Source organism: Homo sapiens, chromosome 19, assembly GCF_000001405.40.
Source record: "Homo sapiens chromosome 19, GRCh38.p14 Primary Assembly".
Lineage (NCBI taxonomy): Eukaryota > Metazoa > Chordata > Mammalia > Primates > Hominidae > Homo > Homo sapiens.
Genome location: NC_000019.10, coordinates 30,729,082 through 30,740,675, shown reverse-complemented (window position 1 = coordinate 30,740,675; position 11,594 = coordinate 30,729,082). Strand labels below are relative to the sequence as shown.

Below are 11,594 nucleotides of genomic sequence, written 5' to 3'. Positions count from 1 at the left end.
CAGAAATATAGTTCTTAGAAAAGAAGAAAGCAGAAAGGACTCGCCGGAATTGAAATTACGAGGAGAGTTATTAGCGACCATGAAGGTGGGCTTTTCCCTCCCCGGCTTCCTTTGATGCAGTGGCCTCTGCCCTCAGCACGGGTTTTGCCTTTAATCACAGATTTTATGCTCTTTGAGGGCAGGTGCCTGCAAATTGCCTCCGATAGATCAATGATTCTCAACTAGGGGCAAATCTGTGTCCCGGGAATAGCGGGCAGTGTCCAGAGACATTTTTGGTTGTCGCACCTTGGAGGGGTGGGAGTGCCACTAGCATCTATGGGTGTCAGCCGAGGGGCAGCTGAACTTCCTACAATGCTCGCAGGGCAACCTCCAGGACAAAATGTCATCAGGCCCCTAGCGTCAACAGTGCCGCTGTTGAGAAACCTATAGAAACACTCACCCTAAATCATCCCTCCAGTGCTCCAGGGCACGCCCTTTCAAAGGCAGATTCTGTCTATGCACTCCAAAGGGGGCTGAAGGAGCAAGGGTTCCTCTTGCAAAGGTACTACGTTGAGGTGCAGCTGCAACCTTTGCCCATGATGGATTCCCCAAGTTGATTTGGGGCTATGAAATTCCTGATACAGGAGGCTTTATTCATTTGCTCCTAAATAGTGTGAATAAGTAGAAATTCAGACAAGGACCAGGCAGACTGTACCTTGCTCCGCCTGTGCGCAAAAGATGTGCTGAGTGTGGGCTCTGTGAACAGACACTGTGGGACACCATTTCTAGAACCTTTTAAGATCAGCAGTTTTCAAGTGTCTCAGACCTACCCTGGGTGTCGGCAGGTCCCCCCTCGTCCCAAAAGGCCCTCGGTCCTTCAGGAGTGCAGGTTCAGCAGGACACCCACTTGTCCACACTCTGTAGCCATTAGCGTCAGTTATCCAGCATACTCAGATTTAATGAAAGGCTTTGTTTGTAACAATCCTATAATTCTGATTTTTTTCCCCCTTAAAATCTGACTAATGTTAGTACCAAATAATCAGATAAAGAGGTTCTCCATCCCAGTTCTCGGCCTTAATGTAATCCAGATGTCAAGTCAATAGCAGCTCCAATCCTCACCTCGTGACCTGGGGTGAATCCAAACTCCTTCCCAAGAGTCCCAGGGCCTAGGGCTCTGACTTCCAGCTCTGGGCAAATTCAGGAGCATCTGCTGTCTTTAATTCAACCCCACCGCTGCCGTCAGCCTAACCCTGTTTCTCTTCAACTTCCTTTCACCTCTCATCTAAAGTTGCACTTACTGGGGGCAGCTTGGTAGAGGACCTTGCTAATGACTCAAGAGTAACAGGCTTGTGGGTGAGGAGGGGGCAGCAGCAGGGGCACTTCCACACAGCAGACAATTTAAAACTGAGTGATACCTCTGGCTGGGCGCGATGACTCACACCTGTAATCCCAGCACTTTGGGAGGCCGAGGTGGGTGGATCACCTGAGGTCAGGAGTTCGAGACCGGCCTGGCTGACATGGAGAAACCTCACCTTTACTTAAAAAAAATTTAAAAATTAGCTGGGCATGGTGGCACATGCCTGTAATCCCAGCTACTCGGGAGTCTGAGGCAGGAGAATCACTTGAACCTGGGAGGTGGAGGTTTCAGTGAGCTGAGAGTGTACCACTGCACTCCAGCCTGGGTGACACAGCTAGACCCTGACTCAAAAAATAAATTAATTAAATAAAATAAAGTAAAGTAAAATAAAACTGAGTGATAGAGAGCTCTCTTCTTTAAAATTCTCTCATCCTTTCCACAAATTTGGACTTCACCCTTCCCCTTATTACTGGACACCTCTCTCCTCTCTCTATCTCCATCTGATACCCCAGCAACTCAAATAAATAGATGCACATCTAACTTCTAGCACTTTATTATGCAAAGCAAGTTATCCCCTGTTGTTCAGACCCCAGACTCCATGTGCAGGTGCAAGAACCTATTCTTAAATTCAGCAGCCTGAGCCCTCACCAGGCCAGTTCTCCAAATTTCAGCCCCCAAGGACAAAGGACAGCTATTTCCTGATGGAGGTGAATTGCTCCTCCCCATCCCCTACAAATAGGCATCCTTAGAAGGCACAAATGGCCTCAGTCCCTTTTGCTTTTAAATATTTTTTTCCTGTTTTATCAAAATAAGGCAAGTAAGGCATGCTCTGACCTCTCCAAAACTGAGTCAAGTGATATCCCATTATCTGTCCCCCTCAGCCAAATGCCTTTGCTTTCCTTCCTAGAAAATGTCACCTTTCCTGGTGACTGGTGTGCATCTGATTATTTGATTGGGTGTGTGTCTCTCCCACTAGGCTCTCAGCTCCATGGGGGCAGGGACCCCTGGCACAGCGGCCAACTCTCCCAGGGTTCAGGAGGACCTATGTGTGGGAGGGAGGCACACAGGGAGGGTTGTGTAAGGGCCAGGCTACATCACAGCCTCTCATCTCCTACACAACCTCGGGTCATATGTGCATGGGTATATACATGTGTGGGCAGTGGGTTGGGTCTATGCATGTTTGGCTCAAACACTAGGTAGCAAGACCCAGGAAATATGATACACTCCTGTCTCTTAAGATTCCCTAAATCACCAGGGACAGTGGCTCATACCTGTAACCCCAGCACTTTGGGAGGCCGAGGTCGGGGTCGCCTGAGCCCAGGAGCTCAAAACCAGCCTGCGCAACATAGTGAGATCCCATCCTAACAAAAGAAGGACACCAGTGTGTTGGTGTGCACCTGTAGTCCCAGCTACCTGGGAGGGCGAGGCAAGAGGATCACCTGAGCCTGGGAAGTTGAGGCTGCAGTGAGTTGAGATCACGCCATTGCACTCCAGACTGAGTGGTAAGACCCTAGGTCTAAAATAAAATAAAAAAAATCCAAACACAGCAATTGCGCCTATGCCCTAGGAAAAAACTGGGTGGTTCCTATTTATTTGGGTCTCTACCCACTGAGGCGATCTGGAACCAGGCATTCAGGCATTTCGAGGTTTCTCTCTCTCTCTCTCTTTTTTTTTTTTTTTTTTTTTTTTGAGGTAGAGTCTTGCTCTGTTCCCCAGGCTGGAGTACAGTGGCACAATCTCAGCTCATTGAGTGTCTGAAGCCTCGGCCTCCCAGGTTCAAGTGATTCTTGTGCCTCAATCTCCCAAGTAGCTGGGATTATAGGCGCCTACCACCATGCCCAGCTAATTTTTGTATTTTTAGTAGAGACTAGGTTTCACCATGTTGACCAGGCTGGTCTTGAACTTCTCACCTTAAGTGATCTGCCCACCTCAGCCTCCCAAAGTGCTGGGATTACAGGCATGAGCCACCACACCTGGCTGGAACCAGGCATTTTGGTTGAAGTCTGCTGGGCACGTACAATCAGGGCCCATGGAAATGTCCCCTCTGAAGACTCACCTCCTCCTCTGTTCTCTCCCGTCCCCCACCTGTGCTCCCAAGATCTCTTTTGCTCCAATTCTAAGCGGCTGCTTTTCTACCTTGTGTCTTCCAAGTAGAAAAGCATTTCACAAGCTCAAAGACCCTAAAGGTAAATACACAAGTCTCTCTATGTAAAGAGTCTCTTTGGGTGGCGTTTGGCCTGGGGTGGCAGCCCCTGACATCCCTCCCATCCCTGGCCATGCCAGCCCCCATCACTCTGATCCTGTGTCCAAATTGAAAGCCAGCCCTGAGGGCCGCAGCTTCTCTGACCCTCAGTCAATGAGGACTCCTCTCCTTGTCCTGCCCAGGAGAAGTTCATTCATCCCTGCCTCTCTTCCTGCTGCTTTTTTCCACACCCTTTCTGAGTCTAGGGGCAAAATCCTTGATGTTGGACACTTGTATGACACCAGCCTCACAGTGCTCTCTGTACAGGGCAGTCAGTGGCATTCCAAATCCCAAGGGTCTCCTCCCTTTCCAGCTGTCCAAGAACGCGTCTGCAGTTTATGTCATCTATCCACCAATTCACAAACAAAATAGTCATTGAGCACCTAATCTATGCCAGGTCTTACACTGTGAAATAAACACAGAGGCACCCAGAGCAGGTAACAGCAGCAACAGGATGGTCAGCTCCCTGGAAGGAAGGAGACCAGACACAGCTAAACCCAAGAGAGGTGCTGAGTGCCCCAGGGATAAGAGACAGATAACCTTAGGGGGCATTCTGCAAGGGACCTGTAAAGGCTTCCTGTACCAGCCCTGCAGTGGGCCCTAAAGGTCTTGTAGGATTGCAAGCAGAGGGTGGGGAGACAAGCAAGCCAGGCGAAGTGAATCAGCTTAATCAGTTAATCAGAACTGTCACACCTTGACTTCGAAATTTACCCAGATGATAAAGATCTTTCTACAATCCATTCTTTGTTTCCAATTAAACGATGGGATTCCCTCTTTTATTCAGTTGTTAAACATTGATCTTGACCTGGTGAAGAGCTGATTGGTCCAGAGGTCTTGGGAGTGGTGGAAATGATTAAGCTGACCAGAAAGAGGGGTGAGCAGGTCAAGGGGAGGACGCCCTGGTGGTGAGTGGAGGGGGTGCTCTGGGGCTGCAGTGTGATAGAGGCTGGGACAGAGGAGGCCAGGGCTTAGAGGTCCACCTCAGCACCATGGGGAACATGCCTGAAATCCTTTGCGTGGAGACTTGAACCTTCTCCTTTCCCCAGAACATGCACCCTGGGGGTTCAAGGACAGGACAAACTTCCTGCTTCTGGAAGCCTCATTATTTCAAAGTGGCTCCAAGTCCAGAGAGAAACAAAGGCACTCCTTGATGTTGATCATCGCAGCTAGATTTCTCTTGAGAAATTACTGTATTGGTTTTTATTTTATACCCACCCTATTTCCAAAGGGATTTGAGGCAGCCTCTCATAAAACCTGGTATATCTATTTATACAGGCTGGTTAAAATACAGATAAATTCTAAAGCTCAGAAGCCAGAGAAGGAGGAGTAAAGCTAATGGCTCGGTGAAACACAATCATTCTCCTCCTCCACCTGCCAGCCCTTCCTGAGGTTTGGTGCTGGGACTTTCCCAAGACCTTGTCTTCAGTGATCCTCCCTCTATCATGAGATGGGTGGGGCACACTGTCTCCATTTTACAGCTAAGTTAAGTGATGGCTCAAGATCCAATTATGGCCGGGCGCAGTGGCTCATGCCTATAATTCCAGCACTTTGGGAAGCCAAGGCCGGCAAGTCACTTGGGGTCAGGAATTTGAGACTAGCCTGGACAACATAGTGAAACCTCATCTCTACTAAAAATACAAAAATTAGCCAGGCATGGTGTTGGGCACCTGTAGTCCCAGCTACTCGGGAGGCTGAGGCAGGAAAATCGCTTGAACCCAGGAGGCAGAGGTTGCAGTGAGCAGAGATTGTGCCACTGCACTCCAGCCTGGGCGACAGAGGAAGACTCCATCTCAAAAGAAAAAAATAAAAAGATCCAATTAAAAGCTGAGCTAAGCTGGAGAGGGTGTGCTGGTAGCAAATTCTCTTCATGCCTCCCACTTCCTTCCTAGAGTGTTCGTGGACAGACACAAAAGGATTCCTTGGTCTTCAAGCTTCCATTGCACCCTCCTGCACAGGCATCCCAAATGGCTACTCTTACTTAGGAGCAAGTCTGTCTGGCAGGAGACTTGCATTTGCATCTTCCAAATAAGGGCCGTTGGGTCCATGTTGTAATTCCTGACAATATGCCTTTCATGGCACAGCACTGGGGCTCGGCTGGCCCTTTAAGGGCTAACTTCTTCCTTCTGATTTGTATTGCAGGTTTGTGACCGGGATGCAGCCTTCTCTTCTGTATCATCCATTCACCCTCCCTGGGCTTCCCTGGAATGGTCAACGGAAGTTCCACATATGGCCTGCCACAATCTGTTATGAGAATAACAGAGGATTCAGTGTGAGAATCAGTGAGAAATATATTTTGCTCTCCCCCGGGTCTGGCCCAGGGTGAGCATAGTGCGTGAGTAGCTGTGCTGTTTTGCTTTTTTGGGTCCAGTTCAGCTCTCAGGCCACCCCCACAACAGATAGACAAGCTGATGTCTATGGAGAGCCAGGCAGATTAAGAACAAACACCCATCTTTCAATGTACATCTTCCCGCATATTTGTTGAATTGTCCCACGGAGATGTTGGTCCATAGGTGGGTGCCCAGTAGATGGGGTCCTGGGCACAGTGAAGAGAGAGGTAGAAGGCACTTCTGGGGCTGCGTGAATTCAGTGCCCACTTATCATCAGAAAGATCCCTGAAGAAACAGAAATGAACATTTGTGCGTTTTTTTTTTCTTGTACTGAAATTATCTTTTTTTTTTTTTCCTTCTAGAGAAACAGCTCCCACACCTTAAGAAAGGGAGCCAGAGACCGAGTGGTATCTAATGCAAATCTATTCTAAGAAGGCTGTGGGGGCCATCTGGTGTCCGATGCAGACAGGGCCTGCTGCGAGATGAATTGGGAGGACAAGGGACTGGGTGAGAGCGAGTGACGGGAGGTGAGAGGCTGACTCCTTTTTATCCATGTCAAAACACAGCCCATCAGGAGGATAAGAAGAGAAATCACCTTATGTTGTGGGAAGCAGATCAAAGCAGAAAAGATAACGTCTCCAAAAGAAAAGGGGGAACAGAAAGCCGTGTTGTTGAACAAAGACGGGAGAGAAACAGGCTTGGGTCACTGGATACCAAGCTGGACTCAATGGCTGTCTGGGTGGCCTCCTTCAAAGAAAAGGCAAATCCTTCCACCAGTTGTTCCGGCTTCAGACACGCATAGACACTAACCCTTCCCGCGCGGCATCTCTCTGGGTTTTTTGTTTCCTGAAAAATATAGTCCCTATCACTGGCTTTCTATGCAGAGCTAAAATAATTCATCAAATATTTGGAATGTGTAATTAAATATCTAATGCCAATTAGTAAATTACTAATGAAATAATCAAGGGCTTTTATGGTTTATAGTTCGGCTCGAATTTTAATTCTGAGTGGCTATTGATTCTAAATAGAGTAGAATGTGAGTTGTAAAACATTAAGTGTACCGATACGAAATGCAGAAGAGAAAGAAGTTTTGGGGTCCACGGTGGTGAATACTGACCGATGCTAATCACCATGGTGTCCTGGCAGGGTGTGCAGGCTGCCTACTGCCAATAGCAGTATCAGGGAGAGAGACTCAGAGGTTCACCATGGAAGGCAAAGACGTGCAGCACATGCGTCCCAGGGTGAGGTGTGATGGTCATGGCTGTATGATCCAGACCAGAGCAGGACACCTGCCATGCTCCCAGGGAGGAGCAAAGGTGGGCCCGAATAAGAAGCCTTCTGAGGCTGCCTTCCTCCTTCAGGCTGGAGGGGGCAACAGCACGTGGGAATGTTGCATGTGAGACAACACAGACTGAAGAGGCAACTTTACTCCACTCTGCAGGCTTGGCCTTGTGTGTGTGGGTACGTGGGGTGCAGGGTGCAGGGTACATGATTACCTTGAAGATGCAGGGGTACAAGTTACTTATGGGGTGCAGGGGTACATGGTTGCCTATAGGATGTGAAGTATATGGTTTCCTAAAGGATTCTGGAATACATGGTTACCTATAGTCTGAGAGTATAGGTTACTTTTAGGGTGCAAGGGTACCTGTTATCTATGGGGTGCAGGGGTACATGGTTACCTTTAGGATGTGGGGGCTAAGGTTACTTATAGGGTGCAGGGTAGATGGCTATCCATAGGATGTGAGGTGCATGATTATCTTTAGGATGCGGGGGTTCAGGTCACCTATAGGGTGCAGGGTAGATGATTAGCTATAGGATGTGAGGTGCATGGTTATCTATGGGATGCAAGGGTGCGTGGTTACCTTTAGGATGTGAGGCTCAGGTTACTTATGGGGTGCAGAGTACATGGTTATCCATAGGATGTGAGGTGCATGGTTACCCATGGGGTACAGGGATACATGGTTACCTTTAGGATGTTGGGGCTCAGGTTACTAACGGAGTGTGGGGTAGATGGTCACCTGTAAGATGTGAAGTGCATGGTTACTGATGGGGTGCAGAGGTACATGGTTACCTTTAGGATGTTGGGGCTTAAGTTACTTATGGGTTGCAGGCTAGATGGCTATCTATAGGATGTGAGGTATGTGGTTATGGAAGGAGTGCAGGAAGTCTGTGGTTAGTTCCGGGTGCCAAGGCACACGTTATGGCTCCAGCAAGGTGGTGGAGAGATGTATACGCCACTTCTGACAACTTTTTCTCAGATGCCCTTCTCCCTTAGTATGGAAAACAAGGTGCTAATCACACCAATTTTAAATATTGAAGCAGATTTTTAAGGATATTTTCTCACCAGAGTATTAGAAAAGCTAGTTACTGGAAGGTATGAAAAATAATGCAATTTCACTTTTGTGAGAAAGACCTTTTGAGCAATCTTAGCCCCCCATTCCATATTTAATAGATGTATGATCATTGTTACAATAAGAATCATCCCTGCCTCCTTGATAATCTATTCTTGCAGGCCTTATTCCTGGAATTCTTTTACTCATGCTAGTTCATGTAGTCCTCACAACAGCGCTTTGGGCTCCATATGTTCATAATCCCCATTTCACAGACCAGGAAACTGAGGCTCGGAGAATTTCCACAAATTGACTAAGCTCAAGCAGCTACTCAGTGCTGGCATGGGGCCTAGAACACAAGCGTGTCTAATATCAACACTGTGACCTTTTCCATGCTGCTACTTGCAAAAGGAGATGGTCACTCAAAACCCACCAACCTACCACATGGGTACAAAAGCCTTGCCCAGGACTGAAATGACACAACCTCCTTTGTGGGCAGGTTTTGAGTTGGTATAAACACAGTGAATTTCAGTGTTGTGTCCTGGGGCCCTTTGGAAGACAGAAATCCCAAAGGAGGTAAAATGTGAACTGGAGCAGATGCTTAGACCAAGAGCAAGCCTGGGCCCGGGGCCACCAGGCTGCCGGAGCTGGTCCCCCAGGGCTGATGATGGAGGAGGGGCTTGCAGAGCCCCTGCAGCTGTGATGTGGCCTGCACTGGGACTGAGACAAGCCTGGGATGTCTGGTGCAGACTTCATGTCTATACCTCCTCCTGCCCCGCTTGGGCCAGGCCAGAGGCAGAAGACCCTGTTGCCTTTCCCTGGCCTCTCCAGCATCTGGGAGCAAGAGGGAGACAGTGCTGTGTACAGCTCAAGAGTGATTTAAACACTCTTCCAGCTCAAAGGGGAATCTTGGATTTCATTAATTAATACATCAATAGAAGCCAATGGAGAAAAACATGTCTTGTTATCTGGCTTCTCAGATGCTAGACATGGGCTCATTAGCCTTAAGCATATCAGCCCGATAACACTATTTATTCCATACAGAATAATGATCTACTTTAGGGGAACACTGCAGTGAACCGAAAGGCCGAGAACATCCATTATCACTGCTCCCGCACACCCGGGCATTATTGCCATCTGCCATAAAAACGGAAAACACGGGGTGCCTGGGCACTGGGTGCCAGCCTGCTCCACCACCCTGCACACCTCACCAATGCACCACCCCTCACAATACAGCTACAGAGGTGCCCAGTCACCCTCACATCAGAGATGGGCATAGGTAACCTGGCTGAGGTCATACTTACTAAGAGACAGAGTTGGGATTCAAATCTGGGTCAGACAAACAAAAGAATCCGAGTTATTTCCACAGTATCATGCTTCCATGCAGACACACACAGGGAGATACACACACTTCCATGCAGATACACACACTCTATCAGCACAAACTCCCACCTGATAGAGAGGGGAAGCCAATGTAAGAAAGCAAGAAGAAGGTGATCAACCCACATGAACTTGTCACTGACCATTGTCCAATAAGGGTAAACAATTTAACCGATTGTACCATTGTTATTCCTGTTTTCAATGACATAATCTCTCTGATGACAGTGTGTTCAGTAGGGGCCATTAGAATTACAATGCAGTTCTGAACCAGTCAGCCTTGAAAGCCAATACACAAAAATAAGCATCACTTCTTGTTGTGTTAGGCTCACGCAAGGCCATTTTGAGATGCTGAGCGCTCCTGGTAGAGAAAGCAGCCATCAGTTAAACAATGACCATATTCATGGGCAAGGAGATTTAGTAAACCACGCCGACTAATAGCCAGTGGGCAGGATTCAGTGCCCCATGTCTCCAGGTCCGCAATTCTGGGATCTTAAATGTGGGACCAGACAACTGCAGGGCAGGGGACGTCTAGGAAGATCTGCCTCTGTCTTGCTAAAAGCTTCATCCTTCTCCTGCCCTTTCTGATTTTGGAAACCCCAAAGAAACTCCGAATTCACAAAACTACACAGACCACGGGGTCCAGTTATCCATCTCTCAATCAATTGGGTCAACCCACAGCAGGAACTCATCGACTCCTCCTTCACCGGGCACTCCTAGGATGCACAAGGAAAATGATTCAAGAGCCTGGTCCCCAAGGCCCTTTCAGTGCAGGAGGCCAGGTGAGAGCTGAGCCCATCTGTCATCACGTGCTGAGCCAGCCACGCTGCTAGGATCACACAGAACATGAAAGTTTAGAGGAGGAGAGCCCACTGGGGCCTACAGGAGACACTAGGGGCTTCTGGGAAAAGGGAGGGACCTAAACCCAATCTTGAGGGACTGCTAGGAAGAAGCAGCATAGACAAGAAAGAGCTGCTTGGGCAGTGACTTTGAGGATACTGAACTGACCACATGCAATGGTATAAATCAGGTCAGCCAAGGGAGGTGGGCAATGAGGGCTAAGTAGTTGGAGGGGCACCTGCTAAGGGGGTCAGTTGTCACATCTTGGGCAGTGAGGAGCCATCTCTAGAGCAGGCCTGGAACCACCTGCCACAAACACACACATCTCCCACAGCCAACAATGGCCTTGTTATAAAAAGGAAGAAAAGGCATTCCAAGGAAAGGGGTGTGTTTCCATCTTGGTAATGGGACATTCACGGTAGTGGCAAGTGGGATAGGTCAGTTCTGTGCAGGAAACCGGGAGTTGTTTGGGCATCATTAAAAGCACTACATACTACCCCATGAATTACCCAGCAAAGGCACAAACACCACTTCCCCTCTTATGACAGCCCAAGGAAAATGCGTGATGCTTCATCACAGCAGCACTGCGGTTTCACACTGCCCACAGCCCACTGCTCACACTTCTGACAATAAAAGGAGTGCAAACAAAGCCCCCTTCTACACAGGCAGTAGCTCTGCGAGGAGGAAGAACTGGCTAGAGGAGTCATTAGAAATAATATTTTTTTTCAAATTAATAAAATGCAACCGTCCACACTCAAGACCAACAGCTTGTAAAATTGGATTTCTAAAAGACGAAGGGGAAACGAGGCCAGCACTGGTCAGAAGTGGCCAAACAGAGAATTTAGGAAGGAGAATTCAGCTACTTCAGCCCAGGAGACATTTGTGGGTGTCGGTCAGTCTGGCCCTAACGTGGTCACTCTGTTTGGGATGACAGTCTCTAAATCCCACCAACTGGAAGGTGCTGAGTGACAAGAGAGAGAAAAAAAGGTGCTTCTTTCCATTAGTCCTTTGGGGCTATATCAGAGGATAGTGGGAAGCCTGAGGTCTCAAACCAGGGAAATCCACAGCACAAGTACCATCTTTGAGATGTGGCTGCTGAAAAACACTATTTCTCTATCTCCGCCAAGAGACTGAGCAGGAAG

General features: G+C 48.3%; 1 annotated feature.

Moving 5' to 3' along the window:
* Positions 5,514-6,713: an enhancer, noted in NCBI's record as "BRD4-independent group 4 enhancer chr19:31224870-31226069 (GRCh37/hg19 assembly coordinates)". NCBI's record gives its function as "activates an origin of replication core promoter dependent on BRD2, P300/CBP, MED14 and CDK7 cofactors, and independent of BRD4, by STARR-seq in HCT116 cells {active_cell/tissue: HCT116}" and the evidence as "EXISTENCE:reporter gene assay evidence [ECO:0000049][PMID:35650434]".